Source organism: Homo sapiens, chromosome 16, assembly GCF_000001405.40.
Source record: "Homo sapiens chromosome 16, GRCh38.p14 Primary Assembly".
In the NCBI taxonomy this organism is placed as follows: domain Eukaryota; kingdom Metazoa; phylum Chordata; class Mammalia; order Primates; family Hominidae; genus Homo; species Homo sapiens.
In genome coordinates, this window is record NC_000016.10 from 10,031,397 (window position 1) to 10,059,135 (window position 27,739).

Genomic DNA, 27,739 nt, shown 5'->3' on the forward strand with positions numbered 1-27,739 from the left:
TCTCTCGCCCTGCTTTTAAGTATTTCTTCCCAGCCACACTGCTTCCTGCCACATTCATTCACTTGCTTGTCCATTTGCCGTCTCTGTCCTTATACAGAAACGTCATCTCTCTAAGGCAGGGGCTTTGTCGTGGTCAGTGCTGCGTTCCTGGCACCCAGCAGAGAGCCCGTAGACAGTGGTGCACAATAATTACCCATGGAATGGTGAATGTTTCTTAGCAACTGTAACTTACTGCCTGCACTCCTCTCCCCTGCAGCCAGTTCTCCACGTGGCCACCAGAGGATGCTTCTGGAAGGTAAATCTCATGTTCACCACCATCCACCCTGGCTTTAAAATCTTTAGTGGTTTCTTTCTGCTCTTATAGCAAAGATGCAACACCCAAATGTGGCCTGAGGGTCTCAGCACGGTTCTGCTCTGACCTCCTTCACTCTTACCCTCCAAGCACCAGGGTCTTCTCAGGCAATTTTTTTCAGACCAGACATTTGCTATGATCCCTCCGGCCACAGGGCCTATGCCCAGTCTCTTTCCACTTCCTGCAATGCTTTTCCCTTCCCTCTGTCACCCACCCTAGTCTTCACATCTCAGTTTCAGCCCATGTCCTCAGGGAACCTTCTCTGACCTTCCTGGGTGGGTCACACAGTACTTATTACAGCGCATCGTATTTACTTGCATGATACTTTTTTGAAATATGTCCCTCCTTCTCTAGACTGTCAGATTCACATGAGCAGAAACAGCACCTGGTTTTGGACCCCATTTTATGCTGAGCCTAGCATATAGTAGGCTTTCAAGAAATCCATGAACAAATAACTAAAGAGCTGTGACCTTCAAACAAGCTACTTCAAGCTTGTTGAGCCTTGGGTAACGATGGCTATGCCAGAGAGACATGGGAGACTTCAATGACATAAAATGGATGATATTTTATAAACAACAATTGGCGCACACTGTACAAATTAAGTGATTTTTTTTAAATGTGGGTCTACCCACCTCTAAGCCTTTCATCTAATTTGATACCTTCCACAGAGATACCTTGATCTAAATGCCACCTCTGCTGAGTTTCTTTTAGCGCCTTTTGCATTATGAAAAGTCAGTATCTCATTGAATCTTCTCATCAAAACAGCCAGACATTTACCATGTGTTCCAAGTGCTTTATATAAATTAACTTTCAGCCCTTGCAACCCACCTTCAAAGGTAAATACTATCATTATCCCCATTTCACAGACGAGGAACTGAGGCACCAAGGAAAATGAAAACTTTCCAGTAGGCACACCCCTAGAAAGTGGTGGATTCAGGGTTGAACGAACACAGTTTAATGCCGGTCTCCACTCTGAGCCATTAAACAACAGTGGTGGAACACACACCAAACAACAAATGGGGAAACTGAGGCCCAGAGAGCTTTCATCATAGCTTCTGCCTGACTCCCAGCTGCAACTCCTAACATAAGTCTCTGCTCATGTGAAAGAGTTCAGTGTCCTCACCCAATGGAGAGTTTCCTTATCATTGTCCTTAACCAATGGAGAGTTTCTTGTGTCCATATATCCAGTGTCCTTACCCAGTGGAGAGTTTCTCGAACCCATGACTACACCATGCTTTTAAGCACACCAGGCTCCTAGGATACCACAGGTGCCCCAGCTGGTTTGCACCTGTGGGCAAAGTTTGCCCTGCATTCCTGGGCACGTGATTATACCTATATTGGGGTGAATTTCTGTGACTTTCCCAGATGCATGTATCTGACACCCCCACCTACCAACCGTGAACTGTTATAATTCCATCAACATTTGCCAAGCAAGATTGTACCACATGGAACTCTGCAGTGAGCAGAGGTTACAGAGTGAGGCTTTGGCCAAATAGGTCTGGGTTCAAATCATTCATTCATTCATTTTGTTAACAAACACTGTAGAGCTTTGGCTGTATGATGGGCCTGTGTTACCAACTCAGGATACCAAGGTAAACCCAGGAAACACAGGTGCCGCTATCAGAAACCCAGAGCCTGGAGGGGTAGACAGACACTAAACACAACAACAAGCAAGAAAATTGGCAATTGTGATACAAGCTACGATGAAAATAAACAGGATGATGTGATGAAACAAAACTGAGAGTGAGGGGTTAGAACAGGGCCATGATCTTCTCCCCATCAAGCTAAATGTGTTTGGGCAAGTCTCGTAATCCCTCCAAACCTGTTTCCAAATCTGTTCATGGTGATGGTTAATCTCAAGGCACATATAAAATGCTCAGAAATGAAAGCTATGCCTTTCTGGAACCCAGGCACCAGGCATTCAGGTGTGAACAAAGCTATCCATGCAGTCCGGGAGGGGAGCCAGAGAGAAGCAAGCATGTGCGACCAGCATTAAAGGGGCAGCTGCAGTCAGTCCTCTCTGGAGCCCTGTCCTTGTTCTTCCCAACACAGCCTTGTGCGTATGCTGATGCTGCATGAAATCCCTGCTTCTTCATCGTTCGTCACAAGAGGTAAGTTCCCCAGCTCCATCCCAGCCCAGCAGCCAACCATAGGAAAGGCAGCTGAGAAGTGCCTTCCTTCTCCTGCCTTCTTGGGTCATTGAGCAAAGAGGAGACAGAGGCACACGGGCCCACTCTCTCTTCTTTTTTTCCTATCAACCGGGCCAAACAACCAGCAAGGAACACCTGCTGAAAGGTGAAGAGGACAGAGCCTTGGCAGAGATTAATGCCTTCCTGATGCCAGGCGGCCGTGAGAACTGAGATTGGCAGTGTGAAGGTCCACCTTCTCTGCAACCAAATCATAAGTGTCCCATAGACAAAGGCTTTGTGTTTATCTGCCTTCAGACTGGTCAGTGATCAGGGAAGCTTAGCAACTTGGGGCAAAACTGGCTCAGGGCCGGGCATGGTGGCTCATGCCTGTAATCCTAGCACTTCGGGAGGCTGAGGAAGGCTGATCACTTGAGACCAGAAGTGCGAGACCATCTTGGCCAATATGGTGAAACCCTATCTCTACTAAAAATCCAAAAAATTAGCCGGAATGTTAGCACATGCCTATAGTCCCTGCTACTCGGGAGGCTGAGGCAGGAGAAGTGCTTGAACCCAGGAGGCGGAGGTTGCAGTGAGCCAAGATCGTGTCACTGCACCCCAGGCTGGACGATAAGAGTGAGACCCCACGTCAAAAAAAAGCAAAAAAAAAAAAAAAAAAAAAAAAAAAAACTGGCTCAGAACTGATGGAGCCACACTTTGAGAAGGATGTTGACTTGCTGGCTAATGAATGATTAAGGTCAAGAGGTAAAGGTGTCACTCATCTTTAATAGTCCCAGGTGGAAGAAAACTGGTCTATCTATTCAGGAGACTTACTGGTCCTTGGCTTTCTTAAAGATTCCCCAAATCTAGAGTTCTCCTGACATTGGTGTGACCCCTCCACTCATCTCAAGAACCACTAGGACTTTGCATTTTCAGAAAGCATGGTTGACTGTCTGCATTCAGTGATTTGTTGGCTGAGACAGTCCTAATAGGTCAGCTAATTTGAATATCACACATATACCCAAATTACACATTGATACTTTAGCCTACAGTAATCTTTCTAAAACTCTTCAGCGGCCCCCATTAAATATAAACTCATCCTGGCTCACAAATCCTTTACAACATGACAACATCTTTGACTTCATCTTCACTTTCTTTTAACGTGTTTAGAGACAGGGTCTCGTTCTGTCACCCAGGCTGGAGTGCAGTGGCACCATCACAACTCACTACAGCCTTGAACTCTTGGGCTCCAGTGAACCTCCTGCCTCAACCTCTTGAGTAGCTGGGACTACAGGCACACGTCACCACACCTGGCTAATTTTTGTATTTTTTGTAGAGACAGGGTCTTGCTATATTGCTCACTCTGGTCTTAAATGTCAAGACTCAAGTGATCCTCCTGCCTTGGCCTCTCAAAATGCTGAGATTACAGATGTGAGCCACCACTCCCCACCCATCCTCACTGCCCACCATGTGTCTGTACTTCCTTTCTCTCACCCTCCTCTCCATATACCCTCCAAACTGTACTGCTCCTCTGAAGAAGTCTCACACATCTATATCTCCCTGCCTCTGCTCCATTTCAAATGTCCTTCCCTGGCTCCTTTCAAAGCCCTTACCTATCCCTCAAGGCACATCTCATGTGTCACCTCCCCTGTGAAGCTCTGCCTGACTTCTCCAGGGTCTCACAGACCCTAGGCCAGGGGCTTTCAAACTTGAGTGTGCATGGGCATCACCCACTGGAGTCACCGACCAGGAGATCTCAGGGGAAGCCCAAGAATCTGCATTCCCAAGTGATGCTGATGCTGCTGGTCCAGGGACCACACTTTGAGAACCACTGCACTGGATGATCGATTTTTTTTTTTTTTTTTTTGAGATAGGGTCTCACTCTGTCACCCAGGCTGGAGTGCAGTGGTATGATCTTGGCTCACTGCAAACTCTGCCTCCTGGGTTCAAGCAATTCTCATACCTCAGCCTTCCCAGTAGCTAGGACTACAGGTGCTTGCCACCATGCCTGGCTAATTTTTGTATTTTTAGCAGAGACGGGGTTTCACCATGTTGGCCAGGCTGGTCTCGAACTCCTGACCTCAAGTGATCCGCCTGCCTGGGCCTCCCAAAGTGGTGGGATTACAGGCGTAAGCCACCATGCCCAGCACGATTAATGGATTTCTATGGAATTTAATTTCCTTTCTGCCTACTGCTTTCAGGTAAAAACGATGAATGATTCAGATTCCCCTGATGATCTCACTTGCATAACTGAGATCAGGGGTTTTTCTGAAATTCACCAGGACTTCTCCCCTTTTCAATCACTTTGTGTGATTGGTATTAGCATTAGTTCTCTAGAACTGCTGTGGCAAAGTACTGCAAACTTGGTGGCTTGAACAATATAATTTTTTTCTCTCATAGTTCTGGAGGCTGAAAGTGTAAGATCAAGGTGTCGGTGGTTCCCTCTGGAGTCTCTGAAGGACAATCTATTTCATGCCTTTCTTCCAGCTTCTGGTAGCCTCAGGCATTCCTTGGCTCATAGATGGTGTTCTATTTATGCCATAATAAAAATATTAGTACTTACTTTTTTTTTTTCTTTTTTTTTTTTTTTTTTTTTTTTTTTGAGATGGATTCTCACTCTGTCACCCAGGCTGGAGTGCAGTGGCGCAATCTCGGCTCATTGCAAACGCCATTCTCCTGCCTCATCCTCTGGAGTAGCTGGGACTACAGGCACCCGCCACAACGCCCGGCTAATTTTTTTTTTTTGTATTTTTAGTAGAGATGGCGTTTCACTGTGTTAGCCAGGATGGTCTCCATCTCCTGACCTCGTGATCCGCCCACCTCGGCCTCCCAAAATGCTGGGACTACAGGCGTGAGCCACCGTGCCTGGCCAGTATTATTTTTTTTAAGATTGTATGCATCTTCATACCATCTCTCCTCTCTGCATGTCTGTTTCTGTGTCCAATTTTCCCCTTTTTATAAGGACACCAGTCTTATCAGATTAGGGCTCACACTAATGACCTCCTTTTAACTTGATTACCTCTGTAAAGACCCTCTCTCCAAATAAGGTCACATCCTGAGGTACTGAGGGTTAGGACTTCAACATATATTTTGTTTTGGTGGGGGATACAGCCCATGATGCCTTGTCAGATGACACCTCTGATCCCAGGAGGATCCATGCCGTGGAGACAAACAACTCATTATTTGCCTTGATGACCTGTCATCTCATAGACACCTCCCTGGATGGATGGAGCACTGGAATTTGGGCTACCAGAGAGTTCCGCCTCGGTTAGCAGAAGTAATTTGCCCGTGTCCTTATGCAACATGCTGACCTGGTCGGTCATTTAAATGAAAGGGCACGGCAGCCATGCAAAACTCTATCTCCCTAATGCTTTTCTTCCCATTGCTTTCTTCTTCTTGAAATATAAAAACGACCCTGTTGTATAACTGCATTCCATTGCACTGCATTAACTAAACCAATTCTAAGTTCTTTTGTGGAAACATGGTGATCACTTCTCCGCTTGCATGCACTAACAGCCCGCATTTGAAGCCTCTCCCCGCCGTGTGCAGCCCTGCCACCCTCCACCGCACCCGACATGCATTATCCAGAGTGATCATTCTAAAAAGTATATTGGACTAAGTTACTTAAAACCTGCTTAAAACACTTTAATGTTTCCCCTTCCCTAAGATAAAGTCTAAACCCCTTAGCATGATATTCAAGGGTCTTCATTCATCTCCATCTGACAGCTTCTCTACTCCTATTTCTTTTATTATTGGTTTTTATTTTTTAGAGACAGGGTCTTGCACTGTCACCCAGGCTGGTGTGCAGCGGAGTGATCAGAGTTCACTGCAGCCTCTACCTCCTGGACTCAGGTGATCCTCCCACCTCAGCCTCCTGAGTATCTGAGACAGGCGCATGCCACCACACCCAGCTAATTTTTGTATTACAGTGACAGGGTCTTGCTATGTTGCCCAGGCTACTCTCCAACTCCTGGATTCAAGCAATCCTCTTGTCTCAGCCTCCCAAATTGTTGAGATTACAGGCATGAATCATTGTGCCTGGCTCTACTCCCATTTCTAAGCCCTCTCCCACACCCAGCAGTCCTTCCAGACAAACCCAGCTGTCTGCAGCTCCTCCCAGTCTACATCATAATCCCCTGGAATGCTTTTCTGCCTTAGTCTGTTCAGGCTGCTGTAACAAAACACATAAACTGCGCGTAAAAACAACAGACTTTATTTCTCTCAGTTCCAGAGGTTGGGAAGTCCAAGATCAAGGTGCCAGCATATTCGGTGTCTGGTGACGGTCAGCTTCCTGGATTACAGGCACTGCCTTCTCACTGTGTCCTCACAGTGGAAGGGTCTAGAGATTTTTGCCTTGCCTGGCTTGCCCTAATCCCATTCATGACTTAATCACCTCCCAAAGGCTCCACCCCACCTCAGCCTATCACTTTGGAGATCAAGATTTCAACATATGAATTCTAGGGGGACGCTAACATTCAAACCACAGCACTTTTCCTCCTCTTGTCTAGACCTGTGTTTCTTAACCCCAGCACTGCGAACATTTGGGGCTGGATAACTCTGCATTGGAGGGGGCTGTCCTGCACACACTGTAGGTTATTTACAAGCATCCCTGTCCTCCACCTACTAGATGCCAGTAGCAACTCCACCTTATCCCCAGTTTGGACAACAGAAAAACCTAGATATTGCCGGCCAGGCGCGGTGGCTCACGCCTGTAATCCCAGCACTTTGGGAGGCCGAGGCGGGCAGATCACGAGGTCAGGAGATAGAGATCATCCTGGCTAACATGGTGAAACCCTGTCTCTACTATAAAAAACACAAAAAAAATTACCCGGGCATGGCAGCAGGCGCCTGTAGTCTCAGCTACTAGGGTGGCTGAGGCAGGACAATCACGTGAACCCAGGAGGCGGAGCTTGCAGTGAGCCGAGATCGCGCCACTGCACTCCAGCCTGGGCGACAGAATGAGACTCCTTCTCAAAAAAAAAACAAAAAACAAAACAAAACAAAAAAAACAAAAACCCACCCTAGATATTGCCAAATGTCCCCTGGCCTAGATAATTGCAACTAGTCCTTCAAAAATCAGGGCAGTGTCACCTCCTCCAGGAAGCCCCCTGGCCCCCTCATCCCCCAAACAGCAGCAAATTCACTGCGTGTTTACTTTAGCTCTTTCCCACATCAGACTGAAACCAGGTCTGCTTCTATTTTGTGCCCCTGACGCTAGCACAGTGCCCGCCCGGCAGGGAGCAGACATCCCCTCCCACCCCCCAATGTCCCCACTGATGTCTGTTGATCAACTAGATGATAGACAGTGAGTGGAAAAGAAAGGCAGAGGGGGGACCCACTCTTGTTCCTTGGTGCCAGGGTTTAAAGAGGTTTGGCTGCATCTAGCGTGTTTTCTCAGATGCTCTCTTGCTCACGACTCAAAGGCGAATGCGAATGTGCATTCGTAGCGGGGGCAGGGATGAACTGCACTCCAAACCTGCACCAAAAACCTGCTCTCTATCCCCAGGGTCTCAGGTAAATGTGGCTTTGTTTAAAAGCGCATTCTCTGGATCTTCTGTTTTCATTTTTAAACTGTAAAAGATAGAGTTGTTTGTTTGAAAATCGAGACGCTAAACTCTAAGTCTTTTGCTGAAGCTCCTCTCCCTAGGGGCAGGATGGGAGCAAGGCTTACCAAGGCTGCCACCTACAGAACAGAGGGCAGCGAGGACTGCGCAGCAGCGGGAGGGACCGGTGGCGTTGGGCGCGGGGAGGGTCTGCGCGGGGAGGGTCCGCACCCGGGAGCGGGGGCGGCTGCTCGCTCTACTCCTGGGAGGGGCCTTTCGAAGGACCAGGTGCTGGGCAGAAGCCCCCTCCCTCCCTCAGCAATGAGGAGCCTGAGCAAATGTGCAAGGGAGGGAGAGGGAGGGGGAGGGGGAGGGGGAGGGGGAGGGGGGGGAGAAAGAGAGAGAGAGAGAGAGAGAGGAGTCCTGGTCCACACCGCTCAGAGGAGGGGTGCGGCAGCCACACACTCACCAGGTACACACTCGCAATCCAGCACACTCACAGCGCACATGCAAACACACACAACCCACAAACAGCACAACCCACAAAAACACACAATACACCTCCACACTGCACAAATACACAACACACACATCCACACACCACACACAAATATACTACACACATCCACACACCACCATAAATACACTACACACATCCACACACCACACACACAAATACACTACACACATCCACACCGCACACACTACACACATTCACACCACACATACACACTCGCAACTTCACTCAGTGCACATGCATACGCCCACAAATACACCGAACACACACATCCACATCATGCAAATACACTACACACACATTCACACCACACACACATCCACACCACACACACAGATACATAAACACATCCACGTCATGCACATCCAAATACACAACACACATCCACACCACACAAACATGCACTCACAACCCTGGACTCACAATGTACAAACACACAACACATACATCCACACCACAAATACACCCACAAACACACCACCACACACACTCACAAATACATGAACACAGTCACAAATATAAATCCACGCCACACACAAATACATGAACACACATTCACACCACACATCCACACCACAAACACACATCCACACCACATAATGCTGCACACTCACAGCAGACATACAAACCCACATATTCACACACACACACACACAAAACACACATCCACACCACATTCACAACTACGCACACATAAATACACATAGCATACACACACAAATACACACACACTCACATGTGCACACACAAACCTACACATTCACACCACACATACACACACCATAGGCACACTGCACACACTCCCATGGAGACACACCCACGCAACCCTCACGCAGCTGCGCTCCGACACTGCATCTGCCTCTGTTCCTGAATAAGCCGCTCTGGAGGCTGGAGGCAGCTGTGGGGGAGGCTGGCAGGTCAGAGCTGTGCCGATGAGCCGTCGTATCTATGCTCTGCGAAAGCGGCCCCAGCCAGGAACACTCCCCTCTGCCGCAGGCTGGAAGAGGTGGCTTTCTCTGTGCTTATCCTAAGCCCTTCCTTCTCTGCCTCCACCTGACATCAAAGCCCCCTGGCAAAGTAACCCAGGTTAAGGCACCCCCTCACCTCCAATACACAGGTGGTGGTCTGAGTGGGTAGAGTGCCAGATGTTAATCAGCAGCAATTAATGTCTTTTTACTTTAATGAATCTTATCACCTTTATCATAAAAAAGTGAAGGGAATGTGTAAGACTTCACTTCTTCCATGAGACCTTCCCATTTTCGTAAGCTCATTTTTACCAGCTAATTCTTCCAACAACCCAGCCTACAAAAGGTATAACGCAGAGTAGGAATTCCAGGGGGAAAGATGTGCAAAGTAAATCTTAATAAATTTTGAATCATATTTTCAATGTATTGGGTGGGGTGTGGGCTTGATAATTAAGGAGAATCTTCTGTAAAGGTTCAATAAAATGACAAATTCTTTTGTAAAGAGATTACTCATTCTGCTGTACCTACTCCCTGAAGCTAAATTGTTATATAAAAGCCTTACTTTGAACAAGCTAGGGAAGTTCCTTAAGGCAAGGTGGTGTCCCCTCAGTTCTTTAAAACACAAGTATCTCTTAGGTAAGGGCTCTGAGTGGGGCCTCTTCCTAGCTACATGGTCTCACGGGGTCATTTAATGTCTCCGGGCTTGTTTCTTCATCTGTAAAATGGGAGTAATATTGCCTGTCTCCCAGGGATGCAATAAGAGTTAAAGATAATATATGTTCAGTGTCTGGTACAGACTAGGTGCTCAATAATTGCTAGCTGATAACTTTGGTATGACCATGCTTTTGACCAACCCAGATACCCATCCTTGAGTGTATAAATCCAACCTACTCCGCTGAGCTCAGTTCAAAGCCCACCTTCTCAGTGAAGTCTTTCCATGAATATGCTAATTGGAAGTAAACCACCTCCTTCTGCAATCTGCAGTCACCCCCTGGTACTTTATTTGTTCCTTTCCACATTCAGCTTTGTATATCGCAATATAGTCCCGGTGCATCTTACACTCCCTTTACACCATAATTAGCAAGACTCATGTCTGAGTCCTCCTTGTGCAATGATTGCACACAGTAGGGGCTCCATAAATGTTCCTTAGGTGATTAATAGCAATAGTGTGGTAGACCTTGTAGGTGGCTCCAAAAAAAGCACTCCACCCCCTGACCACCAGATAACAATGGAATTTCTGTTGTACCACACATAAGGTAGTTTTAAAATATGTCTGCAAATTTTTCAATACTCCCCTCCTTCAAAAGGTAAAGCTTAATCCTCCCTGTGTGCTTGGCAACTCTCTTCTCATGAATGGAGTGGGGGACAAAAGACAGTGTGATTTCTGAGATGACATCAACAAAGGCAATGTGGTTGCCTTCTCTCTTTTGGATCACTCACTCTGAGGAAGTTGGCTGCCATGACATGAGGGACTTCAAGCAGCCCCACGGAGAGGTTCTCAAAATCAATAAATGAGGCCCCCTGCCAGCAGCCTCGGAAACAAGCCATCCATGCCAGCCAGTCCTCCAGCCTCAGTCCAGCCTTTAGATCACTGCACCTCTGGCCAATGTACTGACCACAGCCTCACAAGAGACCCTAGGCAAGAATCCCCCAACTAAGTTGCTCCCGAATATGATCCACATAATCAGTAAGATAATAAATGCTTGTTGCTTCAAACTTCTAAGTTTTGGGATGATTTGTTATGCACCAATAGCTAACTAATACACAACACAGCCATCAGTACATAGTTCTGATGCTGACCCAATCCCGGACAATGATATATTAAGAGGAATCTGCTGGGGTTGGGATGGAGGCGGCATGGGGAAACATTTACTAACTCACACCTAAGGGGGCCATAGGAAGATAAAATCTCTCTTCTGCCACATTTGTGTCTGTATGCAATGCCTCAAACTTCAGGAACCCTTTTGGAACCAGCCTATGAGTAGACTCAACACTAAGGATGGTAGAACAGACGGAAGGGAAGAAGGTGGATTCTTGTTGATACCACTGGGCCACTGAATCCATCAGTCCCCAACTTTGATCTACGTCAGAGTTTCTGGTCATGTGAAATAATAAGTTTATACATCGTATAATCTACTTTGAGTCAAGGTTCTCATAATTACTTGCAGCTAAACATACCCCAACTCATTCAAGGAGCTACTTGTAATGGGCTCTCTGCATTTTACATTTGGTAGTATCTTAGACACTTTTTACAGATTCTTTCTAATCTCTCTAGTATCCTACAATTTAGATATTATCACCCCTACTTTACAGATGAGGAAACTGAGGCTTGATGCCGTTAAGTAACTTTTCCTAGGTCACATAGCTAGTGAGAGGCACCGCTAGGATTCAGTACAGGCCTTTGAACTCAAAGTTGACATTCGTTCCAACCCACCAGGCTGATGATCAAAGTGGCACGCTAAGAAAGCACCCCAGGATTTGCTCAGAAAGGCAGCCGGGATCACATCAGCAGCAAGCCCAAACTTTAAATGCTCACTCGCTACCTCCTTATCTTTTTGTGGAGCTAAACATTATCCTCTGCCATGATGCCTTCCAAAGCAGGACAGGTCTTGATGTGATTTTCCACTTCTCACTATATATGGTATTGTTTCTCAGTATCCTACAAAGATGCCACCAACTTTCAATTATCTCAGCTAGGGAAGCTTCTGCAACCATTCTAGCCCACAGTCAAGGCTCCCTGCTCTGAACCCCCACTGTACTGATAACCAGAACCACACAGCTTAGTGCTGAAGGGTTTTCAAATTGTTTCAAGCATCTTAACCTGCCCCCATCAGCCAAGCTACCTCCTTCTTAAGGTCAAACTCCTGTGCCAAATACTCCTTTTGTTCAGCCCCTGAGCCTAGATATTACAGCATTTGATGCTTAATATACACTTGCCCACTGCTTGATCAATGGAAGGGGGCTGCAATATACATATACATACACACACATATATATATACACACATATATATACACGTATAAATATGTGTGTATATATACACACATATATATGTATATATATACACACACACATATATATATACACATACGTGTGTGTGTGTGTGTGTATATATATATATATAGAGAGAGAGAGAGAGAGAGAGAGACAGAGACAGAGACAGAGACAGAGACAGAGAGTGCCTCACTCTGTAGCCCAGGCAGGAATACGGTGGCGCAATCTCGGCTCACTGCAACCTCTGCCTCCCAGGTCCCGGTTCAAGCAATTCTCCCGCCTCCGTCTCGCCACCATGCCCAGCTAATTTTTGTATTTTTAGTAAATATGGGGTTTCACAATGTTGGCCAGGCTGGTCTTGAAGTCCTGACCTCGTGATCCACCCACCTCGGCCTCCCAAAGTGCTGGGATTACGGGTGTGAGCCACCACACCTGGCCTGCAATATTTTTTCACACCCGGCCTACAATATCATTTTTAAAATCATGTGTACATGGCTTTTTGCTGCACAGAAAAGTTTGACTTGCCTGCCCTCCTTTATGCTTTTTCTTTCCTCTGTTGATGTCTTTGCTGAGTCCTTATGAAGTCTTTCCTAATGCCACTCCCTAACTCCCAAATTAAGTCATTCTTCATCTAGGCTGTCATTGTGTTCTATACATATCTTTAATATACATCCTATTGCTTTATGATTATTTGCTTTTGAAAAGTTTTTAGACAATCAGATGTGTTAAAAATTCCCTAAGCACCAATGTCTGGTTCATACTAGATGCTCAATAAATGTTATGAAAGGGATGCACACGTTTATCATTCAAAGGATAGCCTACGTCTGCTGTGTTCCTACAACAGTTATGACAGCTCTCATCCCACGACATTCCAATCATGTGTTCGAATCTGATTCCTCTTTTAGACTGTAAGTTACCAAGGGCAAGAAATTGATTTTTTCACCATTCTTATCTCTAACATAAATCACAGGGTACAAGGCGAGCATTCAAATATTTGTAGATAAATGTGTGACAACTGTGATCTATTTAGTCAAGGGTTAAATGTGTTACTATTCCCTAATCAATGACCAGGGAATTATTGAGCAATTCAAAGACACTGCTTTTGAATAAAACATTTACCGTACATTATCACCTGGCAAAGAAAAAAAACCTGTGCCTGTTCAAAATATTCTTTTGAAAATGTTTGATGGGGAGGATCTTTAGTTGATGTCATAGGCTTCTTCAAGTTGGTGACAGTTCCTTGCCAATTGGCCGAAGTCTTCCTTGGTGCCTTCCATCACCAGGGTGCAGACATGATTCAAGGATTTCTGGTAAGATCTGGCCAGGAAAATGTATCCCACGAGCTCAAAACTGCCAAGCACTATTGTTAATAACACAGATGGCCTCCTTCAGGAAAGTATTATTTTCTTTCCCTAAATAGAAGCAAGGTAAATATGTTCTTCCTTCTTATGTTTACCAAGGGTCTCTGGCTGGTTTACATCCTTTTGTACAGCAGGCTCTCTCTCAGGCCTCTTGCAAATTTTTTTTTTTTGCACTGGCTCCCGAATGTTCTGCTCCTAAGACTCCGAATCTGCACTGCTCTGGCTACGTGAGAGAGAGGTTCAAAGTGGGACACAGCTTCACCATCAGTTAATCCTGACTGATCTTCTGCCAGAGGTGACAACCTATCCTCGGGGTTTGGCAGTGAGCCTGATGAAGATAAGAAATGCCAGACTGGGTCAGACCAATGGCCCATTCTGGCCATGGCACTGTCTGACAGAGGCATCCAGAAACGTTTTGCAGAAAAGAGCTGTATTTGTCTCCTATGACATCAGTCATCAAAAATGTGCAAAGTCCTCCTGAAGCAGATCATCTTGGGGTGCCCCACCCAACTTCCATGCCACCCTTTTCCAAGCTGATGGAGTCCTCATTTTGTTCAAGTGCTTACTTGCCTACAGGAGGCTCAGGATTAAATCTCTTTTGCCCTATGCCAGGGTTTCTCAACCTCTGCACTACTGACCAGATCGTGTTTCTTTGCTGGGTGGGCTGTCCTGTACATTGTAAGATATTTTACAGCATCCCTGGTCCCTACATGCTGATATTAGTAGCATCTCCCGACAAACACCTACCTGTGAACACCAAAAATATCGCCAGACTATTACCCTTCGGGGAGGGAAAGACAAAATTGTCCCCAGTTGAAAACCACTGCTCTAAGCCAATATGATAGCCCCATTGCCTTAGCCAGTGATGGTTTTAGGGGTGAGCACGTGATCCAGTTCTGACCAATGTGGCATGAGAGGAAGTCATATTGAGGCCTTTTGAGAAATGTTCTCTCACTCTTAAGAAGCTACAAAACTGAAAGTGTCTCTTTCTGGTTGCTGGCATATCTAGATCACATCTTATCACCACCCTGAGGATGCAGCCAATAAAAAAGGATGAAATACATTTTTAAATTGTTTTTTTTTTTTTCTTAAAGCCATGGCTCCTCAGTTAACCTAAGCAACTTTAGGGTCACCATACCTTAAGACTCTTCACTACATAATAAATGAAATTCATTTCATTACTGACGGCATAAATTTGAGTTGGGGTTTTGTTACTTGCAGCCAAAAGCATCCCAATATAAACACCTTCCCATCTTTTCCATAACAAACCTACTTTGCTTCTCTCGCTTATTAGTAGTCAAAACATCACCTTTCAATGCATCCCAATGCCGTATAGGATGGTTTAAAGAGCCCTGGAGTCTGAGGCAAACAGCTAAGTTTGAGCAGCAGCTACACACACACACACAGCTCTTAATTTCCTTCATTTCTTCCATGTTGATAACACCATAAATTCTGCACCCTTTTGAGATTGTGTAATGGTCAAATGAGATAGTGTGTATGAAAATGCATAATAAACTCCAAGTGCTTTGTGGGTATCATTACATTTTCAGTCCCTACCACCCCCTTCAGAGGGTGGCACGTCTACATATTCACCACCCAACACTCAGACTTCAGCTAACGTTTATTAAGCCTAACTATATGTTAAGTGCTGTGTATATCAGTTGCTCTACCTTAGTGCTGTTGACAGTTGGAGCTGGTTAATTCTGTGTGGAAGGAAGCTGTTCTGTGCACTGTAGGATGTGTAGAAGCACCCCTGGACTCTACCCTCCAGATGCCAGTAGTACTCACCTTCACTCATGACAACCAAAGCTGTCTCCACACATTGCCAAACAGAGAACATTTGTCCCTGAAGGATAAAATTACTTCACATTGAAAACCATTGGTGTACACCCTGGTGACATACAGATAAAAAGATTTGTTTCCTGCCCTCAAGTAATTTATATCCTTCTATAAATGATCATTTATTTTATAACATAAAACAACCACAACCATTATTTGGTAGCAGATAGATCTAGGTCCCACTCTCCGCTAGCTTGTGGATGTTACTGTCTCGATCTCAGTTTCTTCATCCAGAAAATCGGGGTGATAAAGTCTACCTCTCTAGATCATTTTCAGAATTCAGTAAAATAAGGACTGCAAAACACCTAACAAAGTGCCTGGCAAACAATTAGTACCCAATAAATGTTAGCTTTGCATACTATTGTGTTCTTGGTTTAAAGATTATTGTCTGCTTTTAGGAATTAGGACCTCAGTTCCTGTTAATCTTCTTTACTTTGTTCTATGAACTTACAGACTTGAGTCCCATACCTGATATAGATGTTGGTGCTCCACCTGAACTGCCTCAGATCTTCTTACCATTTCTGCAAAGCCACCCTGAATCCCAATAGCCAGCACCTTCATCTTTGTAGGAGAGAAACCCCTCTGAATATTGGACCCCACATTGCCAGCATGCATGGTGGGTCAGAAGTGTCTGAGAGTTAATATATCCTTTTCTGCCCTGGAATAGCCTTTGAAAGATGACTAATGGGCACAGGAGTATAAATACCTCAGCTCCTCCACTCCTTGGCAGGAATAATTCTCAGGTGTGCATTTTACATTGATCTCAGAGCTTACCTGCAGGGTTAACTTTCAGTTCACCACCTTGGTATCTGGCTTACTAACATATGTCTCACTGGTGGGCTCCCTCTCCTTTTATCACCTCCTGTCTCCCCTGCCTGTGACCCCCCTACATGTCCCAGATAAACTAGGTACATTCAATATTTAATCACAATCTGTTTCTGAGGGACCCAACTAAAACACTATCCCTTTACTTTAATGATTAAGAGTTCAGACTCAATAGTTATATTTCCTGATTAGAATCCCTTTTCAAACATGTATTAATTTTGTAGCCATGGGCAAGTTATTTCACCTATGACTCAGTTTTCTTTATGTAAAATGCAGATAATAATACTCACTTCACAAGGTTATTATAAGGGCTAAATGAGTTAATATTTGTCTAATACTTAAAATCGTGATTGGCACTTAGTAAGCCCTATGTAAGCAATTATTCCTTTTAATTCCTTCGTAATCAATCCTAGTCTCCTTGGCAGCCAGAGTCAAGTTTCTAGGACTTGGGAGAACTGCCTACTACCTCAAGCCAACATATCAGGAATTATTTAAGAATCTAATTTTCAAAAACAGTCAACAGCAAAAAGAAAACTTCTATTTGCCCAAAGGATAATTCCAGACTTTGTTAGTGAAGACATATGTGGGGACATGTTGCCTGCAAACTGCTTGGATTCCTCCACTTGAATTAACATTCAGGAAATATGCCTGAATAAGTCTGCATTTGCTCAATAATCTCTCCTGGCCTGGGAAGAAGACTAGAGATATTAGTGTCTCCAAACACTAACATAGCCCAGGTCTGTGCCCTCCAGAAATGAGCATTCCTCGGGCTGTTGAATGGCTAAGCAGTATTCCATTCTGAAAGACAGTAATACCCCACACTTGGCCTCCCTTGGGCTGGTGCCACAGGGGCTCAAAATGTCTCAACCCATAAAAGACTTCTCTCCCCATTTCCTCTCTCCATCTCAACCTTGGAGGGTTTCTGTTCCTAATGCTATTCTACATGGCAGCTGGGATCAGTGCAAGCTCCAGGGCCAAGTTCTACAAGCCTCCTTCCTGCTGACGTGGAGGAAGGAGCCGAGGGAGAGATCTCTCTGGCCCCAGCCCCTGCCCATTCATGCATCAGAAACTTGCTGTCTCTATTCTAAGCTATTTACCTCCCAGTCGTTGCTATTCCAAAAGAGAGCCAGAGGGGAGGAAAATCTATAACAGTATTTTAATTTCCTGATATGACACACTCCATACTGAAATTACCCTTCCAAAGATCAGAGTTCCGCTTGGCAAAAGCCCAGTGAATTTCAATGAATGATACCACCCAGAAAGAACAGAGTTTTGTTTTATGGATGGTGAGATGACAATGAAGAGATGGATTGCCTATTTATTTAAATTTATTTTTAATTTACATTTAAATGCTCTGTGTTTACTCTATCTCAGGCACTGTGCTAAGCATTTTAGACTCATTATCTCAAATGCTACCTTCTCAAGTTGTCACAGCATTACCACCTTATTTATTGATTTTTTACTATTTTTTTTTTTCGAGACAGAGTCTTGCTCTGTTGACCAGGTTGGAGTGCAGTGGTGCGATCTCGGCTCACTGTAACCTCCGCCTCCCAGGTTCAAGCGATTCTCCTGCCTCAGCCTCCTGAGTAGCTGGGGTTACAAGCACCCACAACTACGCCCACCTAATTTTTTGTATTTTTAGTAGAGACAGGGTTTCACCATGTTGCCCAGGCTGGTCTCGAACTCCTGACATCAGGTGATCCACCCGCCTTGGCCTCCCAAAGTGCTGGGATTACAGGCATGAGTCACCGCGACCAGCCCACAACTTGCCTGGGACTCCGCAGTCCTCTTCCCTCCTGATTTTTTTCCATTATACTTAGCACCCTCCAATACATTATATAATGAATTGTTTGTCTGTCTCTCCTGATTAAGATGGAAGCTCTATAATGGCAGAACATTTTGTGCAATTTTTTTGTGAGCAGTGCCCAGCTCATAGGAAGCTTTCAATTAATATTTGCTGACTGAAAGGATGAATAAATGAATCTCCTGGAATCTTTCTGATAACCCAGTGGAAAAGCCACTGTTATCATCACTCCCATATTTATACTCATACCCATACCATCCTACCTGATAGGAAGAATAAAGGTCTCCCAATAGATGTCTATGTCCCGATACCAAGAACCTGTGAATATGTTAACTTACATGGCCGAGAAGACTTCACAGAAGTGATTGAGGATCTTGATATGGGGAGATTATCCTGAAGTCCCTGGTTTGGCCCAATGTAATCAGAAGTATTCTTCTAAGAGGGAGGTAGAAAGGGCAGAGGGAGACAAGGACTTGAAGATGCTACACTTCTAGCCTTGAAGATGAAGGAAGAAGCCAGGAGCCAAGGAACAAATACAGGTGACCTCTGGAGTAGGGATCCCCAAACCCCAAGCCACGGACCAGTACCAGTCCATGACCTATTAGGAACTGGGCCACACAGCAGGAGGTGAGCGGCAGGTGAGCAAGTGAAGCTTTATCTGTATTTATAGCTGCTCCCCATTGCTTGCATTACCACCTGAGCTCCACCTCCTGTCAGATAAGTGGCAGCATTAGAATCTCATAGGAGCACCAACCCTATTGTGAACTGCACATACGAGGGATCTAGATGGCATGCTCCTTATGAGAATCTAATGCCTGTTGATCTATCACTACCTCCCATCAACCCCAGATGGGACCATCTAGTTGCAGGAAAACAAGTTCAGGGCTCCCACTGATTCTACATTATGATGAGTTGTATCATTATTTCATTATATATTATAATGTAATAATAGAAATAAAGTACACAATAAATGGAATGCACTTGAATCATTCCAAAACCATCAGCCCAACCCCGGTCTGTGGAAAAACTGTCTTCCACGAAACTGGTCCCTGGTGCCAAAAAGATTGAGGACCACTGCTGTAGAGACAGTGAATCATAATCTGAGAGTTTACAGAGGAGCACAGCCCTGCTTTCACAAACCTTGATTTTAACCCAGTGAAACCCATTTTGGACTTCAGTCCTCCAAAACATATAATTTATATAATAAATATGTGCCACTTTAAGCTAAGAAGTTCATGGTAATTTGTTATGGCAGCAATAGGAAAGTAAGAGACCCATTATTCAGATGATGAAGCTAAGACTCGAGAGCATGTCCCAGGCCCCCCATGTAGTTAGGTGGTAGGATGATGTAGATGTAAGTGCAGTCAGCTTAACTCCACACTCTTCCTCTTGTCCTCTGTACAAAGTCAAGGGAGTTGATCAAACAATAAGAAACACTGTGTGCAACACTCAGTTCCTGGGATTTTGGTGCTATAAGGTCATGACTATTCCACCCTGCAATCTCTTCAGCACCCACTCTGTACTTTGGGACTGTTTTTCCTCTCCATGGAATTCTAAGCTCAAATAACTGCAGTCAGTTGTAAAAGTGCACAGACAGGAACAAGACACCTCCTGCATGGGTCTCAGAGTCTGATGGAAAGGGCAGTCGTAAGTGAGTAGTAATAAAACATTGGGAAGAAAAACTCCATGGGTGCAGGGCATTGCCTTTTCACAGGAGTATCCCCAGAGCCAAGATCAATGGCTGACTCATAGTAGGCACTTAATAAATATTTGTTGAGTGAATGAATGAGTAGTAACTCAAAGTAGTTTTTAAAGTGCTCCAAGTATACAAAGCTGGAAGGAATTAATTCTGCCTTGCATGTGTGTGTCTGAGGGGGTGTATCAGGGACTGGACCATTCGAATTGAATATTGCCGAATTCACACAACTTGGCAAAGAGAAAGGGTATTCCAGGGAGAGAGAACTGCATGTACAAGAGCAAGGAGGTAGAAAATACCAGGAACGGTCACCAGAGCATGCCAGGGTGAGTGCAATACTGTGCAGGTGGTACAGAAGATGGGGCAGAGAGACTGGCCAGACCCTGCCTTCTCTGCCAGGCTGGCCTGCTCCTGTCAGCCACAGGAGCCAGCTCAGACATTTAAGCAGAAGGGTAATGGGATTAGGTAGGTATTTTGTAAAGACTACACTTGCACTGTTACGTGGGCACCATAACAATGCATTTTCATTTGTCAGATCACTGTCACATACTAAAAAGTCTTGTTTGTGCTGAGAGATCTCAAACTACCTCTTTTACTGAAGACTTCAAGGGGGAAACTACAGAATTATAATGGCCTGGAAGGAAATGTCTCTGAAAGACAAGGATAGTGGCCAGTAGACAATGGCACACATGCCCAAAACATTGTCATCAGGAAATTCAAGAGGTCATTAAATTCTACTGTAGGAGGAAATTAACACAAAGATGATCCCAATGACAGATGTATTCTCATGATAATTCAAGCTCTTCTCCATCTGGAATAAGAGAAAAACAAATGACTTTCCAAAGAGCTGATCACATTTAATCTTCCTTTAAAGACCTGTGGGTTGGATGTGCTATCATCACTTCACAGTTAAGGAGACTGAGCCCCGTGGGCCAGTTTTGCAGAGCTGGTGTTTGAACTTGGGCAGCTACAAAGCCTGTGCTCCTTCCCATGCTCACCCTAAGTCCTTTTACATATCATGCACTGAACTTCCAACAGGAACGGTCAAGTCCCCAAGACCTAGGCCCTGTCCTTAAGGAATCGCCATCTGCCCCAGGGGACATGAATGATGCTTCTAGCCAGGGAGAGGGGTGGGCTAAGATATTCCGCCTTCAGGTTGCTGGGAGGGTAAGTGTGACCAGGGCTGGCTGGCGGTAAAGACCTCCCGGAAAATGTAGGTCCTGTGCTGGATATAAAGAAAAGATCTGTTGAGGCAGGAAGCTTCAATCACTAGAGCAAATTCCACCCAAACTGGGAGCTTCTCCTAAATGGAGATCCTGAGCCCTATCCTTAGAATACAGAGAGTGAGGCCAGGCATGGTGGCTTACACCTGTAATCCCAGCACTTTGGAAGGCCAAGGTGGGCAGATCACCTGAGATCAAGAGTTCGAGTCCAGCCTGGCCAACATGGTGAAACCTCATCTCTACTAAAAATACAACAATTACCCAGGCACAGTGGCACACTCCTGTAGTCCCAGGTACTCTGGAGGCTGAGGCAGGAGAATGGCTTGATCCTGGGAGACAGAGGTTGCAGTGAGCAGAGATCACGCCATTGCACTCCAGCCTGGGCAACAGAGCAAGACTCCATCTCAAAAAAAAAAAAAAAATACAGACAGTGAGTCTGAGTAAAACTTGGGAATCTGAACTTTGAACAAGCCCCACTAGTAATTCTGCCACTGTTCAGGGCCACAACAGTGAATGGAGAAGAGTAGGATGGAGACAGAAAGCTTTTAACTGAAACTTTCCAAATTCAGCAAGAAAATCAAATGACTGAGACAGAAGATTTCTGTAGTTGACTAGCAGAGGATCCTATGGAAAAGGTGGTTTGATCTACAGGACCTTAAATGTCAGGCTAAAAGGAAGATAATATATTTTGTTGAACATCTACCACAGATCAGAATCTAATCTTGTCTATTCTTCACAACAACCCTCTATGAATATTCCCACTTTAAATTACCCAAAGTCAGCCAGCTAGCAAGAGAAGAGCTGGAGCTTAAACCTGAAATGTGTGCCTCTCTGAAGCCCATAATTATTCCACTACACACCGTCTCTCTTAAGGACTGTGAGTGACGAATGAAGCAGAGTCACTGGTATCTTTTGAGCAGGTGGTGACAAGTTCATAGGAGTTTTAGGAGGGCAAATGTTGCACTAAGGTGGATTGCCCTGGGGAGAAAATGGAGCCAGGATTAGACCACTTTGCCTAGTCTACATCCTGCCACCTGCTGTTACAACGTCCTTCTGTTGTCAGGGTCACTCATGAAATGCAGTAAAAGAGCTGTATTAGTTGGTGCAAAAGTAATCGTGGTTTGTAATGGCAAGAACCGCAAATACTTTTGCACCAATCTAATACATCCATAAATGGATATATTTGAATATGGAATGACAATAAGAAGTTAAAATTTAATTTTAAAAAACTGAACAGAATAAAGAAACAAAGCCAAAGAAAGGAAAAGATCCTACGTGGATAAAGCAGAAACCTCCACACAAGAGCTGTATTATTAGTTGGTGCAAAAGTAATCGTGGTTTGTAATGGCAAGGACCACAAATACTTTTGCACCAATCTAATACATCCATAAATGGATATATTTGAATATGGAGTGACAATAAGAAGTTAAAATTTAATTTTAAAAAACCGAACAGAATAAAGAAACAAAGCTAAAAAAAGGAAAATATCCTACGTGGATAAAGCAGAAACCAAAAGTAAACCAAGCGAAAAAAAAGAAGCCAAATAAAACTATAAGCTGATCTTCAGAGGAAAAACATTAAATGAATCTTCTGACATGACTGTTCAAGAAAAACAAACCAAAGAAAAGAAAACCCAAATGGCCAATAAATGTGAAAATATGTTCAACTTCTTAATAAGATAAATGCAAATTGAAGACCATGGTTAGATTCCGTTTTACATCTATCATATAAGCAAAAATGAACAGGACTAATACAAAGATTTAAAGAGATATAAGAAGGTTGCAACTTTTCATTCCTTGCTGTGGGAACATAAACAGGCTCAATCCTTTTGCAGAACAAATTGGCAATCTCTGGTGATGTTGAAGATGCCCACATCCTATGACCCAGAAATTTTACTTACAGGCATATATCATTAAGAAAATTTCTCATCTGTGCAAAGATGTTCTGTGTTTCGTTGATTTAATGACAAAGTGCCCATCATTCAGTTCATGGATAAGTAAAATTTTTATACATCCATAGGGTGGATATTTAAAATATAAATAGTTAAAATAAATCCACTAAAGCTACATTTATAAACACAGATAAATCTCAATAACATAATACTGAGTAAAAAAGAGTAATTTGGGCCAGGCGCAGTGGCTTACGCCTGTAAGCCTACCATTTTGGGAGGCCGAGGTGGGCGGATCATGAGGTCAGGAGATCAAGACCATCCTGGCTAATATGGTAAAACCCCATCTCTACTAAGAACACAAAAAATTAGCCGGACATGGTGGCACGCGTCTGTAGTCCCAACTACTCAGGAAGCTGGAGGCAGGAGAATCGCTTGAACCCAGGAGGCGGAGGTTGCAGTGAGCTGAGATCACGCCATTGCACTCCAGCCCAGGCAACAGAGCGAGACTCTATCTCAAAAAAAAAAAAAAAAAAAAAAAAAAAAAAAAAAAAAAGAAAAAAGAAAGAAAGAAAGAAAAAAGAAAAAAAAAACAGTAGTTGGAAAAATATAGTACTGTTTATAAAAAGCATAAAACATACTAATACCATTATACCCTAGGTTTGCATGTACATATAGAAAAACACATTTATCAGCTTTAGGTTAGTGGTTTCCTCTGAGGAAGGAGATAAGGGAATGAAATGAGGGTGGCAGGCTTCAGCAGCATCTTTATATTTTTAAAATCTGAAATAAATGTGACAAAAATATTAACATTTGTTAAATCTGAATTGTCAGTACATGGTTGTTTGTTATTTTATTCTCTGTACTTATCAGCATGTCTGAAATATTCCACCATTGATAAATCCTGGTTTTGAAAGAGAAAAAGAAAAGATTTAAACACAATAATAGGATGACTTCTCTGAGACTCCTTAGTTCACTGCAGATATCCAGATCAATGTAAAAAGGATACTCTGAGCAGACAAAACATCTGGGAAGACCTTTGTCACATCTGATGAAGTGAATCCATCTGGCACCAAGCTGCAAACTCCCTATTAACAGTGCACTGGCAAACTCAGTCACTTCAATAGACAACATCAGAATAGGTGCTTTTAAATTCAACTAAGCCCTTCCTTAGGCAAATAAGATAAAAGCTTCAACAGAAACCAATGTAGCCCAAATTTAGGATCACCCACGCTACATTTACCCATCCAATCTGAAACAATAAAAGCAATTGTGCCTGTCTGAGGCATATTTTTCTGCCATCAGGTTTAAAATGTTAAATAAATAATAATTGAAATATGAAATAGTGGTGTCTATACATGTACATTTTTGTCACTCCCTAAACAGCAGGAATTATACCCAACATTTAAGTTCTTTCTCAGGGTTTCACTAAGCATACTCCAGGCTAGAGACAGCTCCAGGCTGGATATTGCACCAAATGAATTCACACATACACTCCCTCACCCACTAGAAGTTCATATCCCTGGACAGCTGGTAGCAGTCATTCCAGTTAACAGCATTTCTGAATGCAGAGAAAACCAGGCAACAAATACTTAATGAGCATTTCCTAAATGCAGTGTCATACTAATAACAGAGAAGATAAATACATGTACCAGAATTTCTACTCTGAAGAAATTAATAATATAATTGATTCACCCATACATATATCCAAGCAACCAACCATTCATCCCTCCACCCATTTACCCTTTCACTCATCCACCTTTCCACCCTTGATCCATTCAACCCTACATCTTTCCACTCATCCATTCAAATAATCATTCACCCTTCTCTTTATACAACAACTCCTTTACCAATCCATCCTCTTCCCCTTCCAGCCAGGCTGGTCCTCCCTTCCCATTCTACACCTACCCATTAAGCCACCTTCCATTGCTTCATACATCCATCTCTTCAACCCTCTAACCACCTGTATTGGGTTGAGCAGCATCCTTCAAAAATTCATGCTCACTCAGAACCTAATAATATGACCATATTTGAAAAGAAGGCCTTTGTAGATGTTATCAACTAAATTAATATGAGGTCATACTGAATTTGGACCCCAGTCCAATGACTGGTGTCCTGAAGAGGAGAAAACACAGGAACACACACAAGGAGAAGGCCACATAAATATGGAAACAGAGACTAGAATGATGTACCTACAAGCCAAAGAACGCCAAGGGTTGATGGCAACCACCAGAAGTTAGAAGATGCAGGGGAGGGTCTTCCCTTAGCATCCTTGGAAAGAGAACAGTAATGCCAGAACCTTGATTTTGAACATCTAGCCTCTAGAACTGTGATATAATAAATTCCTGTGGTTTTGAGCCACGAAGTTTGCAGGACTTTGTTGAGCAGCCCTAGGAAACTAATACACCACCTCCCCTACCAACTACTCCATCTCTCCAACCCCCAGCCAGTAATCTTCTCAACTATACAACCCTCCACCCCTCCAGCCTTCTACCCATCCATCCCTCCACCCATCCATCCAGCCATCCACCCAATTCCCCATTCATTCCATCCAACCATGCATCCATCTATCCACCCATCCATCCATCATTCATCCATTCACACATACTTTATTTAGGGTCTATGTGCCAAGTGTTGTTCTGTGTGCTAAGTGTACAATGGCGACAACAGTAGTAGCACGATATTATGGGTTCTTCCTCTGACATATGCTAATAACCCCACTAATATCACCAGACCTCAAGAATAAATACAATCTAAGTAAATACAATGGGCTTGCTATGCAAACTGAACTTCAAGGTAAGTTCCCTAGGTATTCCTGCCACTTGTAACTATGTTGGTGGCACTTAGGCCCTTCCAATATAAATGTTCTGGGGCCTCCACTAGATGAGGAGCAAAATATCCAAGGCCTCTTCCCAAATGGATATATAGACAATAAATAAATCATACAAGTAAATATATATTTATCAATTTTGTTGAATTCTATGAAGGAAAAAAATACAGCTCTACAAAGAAAATAACAAGGGTGCAGGGGACAGGGCACTAATTATGATTAGGGAGTAACAGAAAGCCTCTGTAAGGTGGAAAAACAAAACAAACTCATAAGTAGTTAAAAAAAAAAAATCACTTCCCAAAGAGGCTTACACGATCAGGGAAGTATTGGGCTTTGGGTAAGTGCTACACACTCTCAGAGGACAGGGAGTCCACTGAAGACTGCAAAGCTTTCTTGAAGAAAAGTCTGCCTGGATACTGAAGGATAAATGACAGTTAAGTAATGGGAGGGATACCTATTTTTAGCGTGGTCCTCAATAAACAAAAGCGCAGACATCACTCGTTCATTTTAAGAGATCTTGACTTTTATGTGCCAACGACCACTTTGGCAGGCTGGTGAAGCCTTCAAATTCCTTCTCAGAACAGAGCTGTCAAATAAGTAAAATAAAATACGTGGCCGGGTGTGGTGGCTCATGCCTGTAATCCCAACACTCTGGGAAGCCAAGGAGGGTGGATCACTCGAGGTCAGGAGTTTGAGACAAGCCTGACCAACGTGTTGAAACCCTGTCTCTACTAAAAATACAAAAATCAGCTGGGCGTGGTGGTGCAGACCTGTAATTCTAGTTACTTGGGAGGCTGAGGCGGGAGAATTGCTTGAACCCGGGAGGCAGAGGTTGCAGTGAGCCATGATCAAGCCTTGCACTCCAGCCTGGTGAAAAGAGCTAGACACTGTCTCAAAAAAAACCAAAAAACAAAAAAACCAAAAAACAAAAAAACAAAAAACAAAAAACAAAGAAACAAAAAAACCGCTAGATTACAAAGAAAACAAATTATATCAAAATACAGTCATAATGATGTTTTAAAACAAACTTGTGTTATGTTTATGTCGGTATTAACATGCTAAATCACAAGATCTGTGCTGTGTCTACTAACTACAATGATTTCAAAATAATTTGGCAAAAGTAAATAATTCTGAAATATCTACAACAATGATAATGTGATAAGAAATATGTAATTTCTCTTGGTGAAAAAAAATCAGACAGCTGCTATTACTGTGATTTCTTGCTACAATTCAAAATGAAAAGAATGAAAACTTTTGTTAGAGGTAAGTAAAAATAAGCAATTTTTCCCCATCCAAGTTTACAGACCACTGAGTTCCATCCACAGACCCCTTAGGGGCCCGTTTATGTGATTTATATGTTTAGGTATTTATGTATTTGTCCATTCATTTACTCGCTCATTCATCCCCCAAATTCTGAATGTTTCTGACATTCCTGACAATATGGTTAGTGCTAGCAATATACAAGGCCAAAAAGACAGATGTGGTGTCTTCCCTAATGAGCTTATATTCTAGTGGGCAGAGACAGTCAATAAGCAGATAAACAAGATAGTTATAGGCTGTGATAACAATAGATTGTGAAAAAGAATCAACAGAGTGATATGGGGAAAGGGGAGGTTCACCTGGTGTTGGTACCCATGATGAACACATTATGCAGCAGGATGGGGAATCATAATACATGGAAGAGGGATTCAGACAAAGGCCCTGTAACAGGAGAAGAACTTGGGCATCAGAAGAACAGGAGGACAGTCCATGTTGCTGGAGTGAACATAGCAATAG

The 27,739-nt window shown here is 43.8% G+C and overlaps 1 protein-coding gene and 1 long non-coding RNA gene across 8 annotated transcripts in view, besides 2 other annotated features; one reads left to right on the forward strand and one right to left on the reverse strand.

Annotated features, from left to right (window-relative positions):
• GRIN2A (glutamate ionotropic receptor NMDA type subunit 2A) overlaps positions 1-27,739 on the reverse strand; it is a 429,505-nt gene that overhangs the window by 277,993 nt on the left and 123,773 nt on the right. The gene's annotated exons all lie outside the window — the stretch shown is intronic.
• LOC105371076 (uncharacterized) lies at positions 240-5,901 on the forward strand. Its single transcript, XR_933061.2, has 3 exons — positions 240-295; positions 2,263-2,463; positions 5,590-5,901. It is a non-coding gene; the product is annotated as an uncharacterized LOC105371076 (long non-coding RNA).
• Positions 7,290-7,790: an enhancer, noted in NCBI's record as "H3K4me1 hESC enhancer chr16:10132543-10133043 (GRCh37/hg19 assembly coordinates)". NCBI's record gives its function as "activates a minimal SCP1, AML or CMV promoter by ChIP-STARR-seq in primed H9 embryonic stem cells {active_cell/tissue: H9 hESC(primed)}" and the evidence as "EXISTENCE:reporter gene assay evidence [ECO:0000049][PMID:30033119]".
• Positions 8,219-8,268: a silencer, noted in NCBI's record as "silent region_7188". NCBI's record gives its function as "represses an Ori minimal core promoter by ATAC-STARR-seq in GM12878 lymphoblastoid cells {active_cell/tissue: GM12878}" and the evidence as "EXISTENCE:reporter gene assay evidence [ECO:0000049][PMID:35858748]".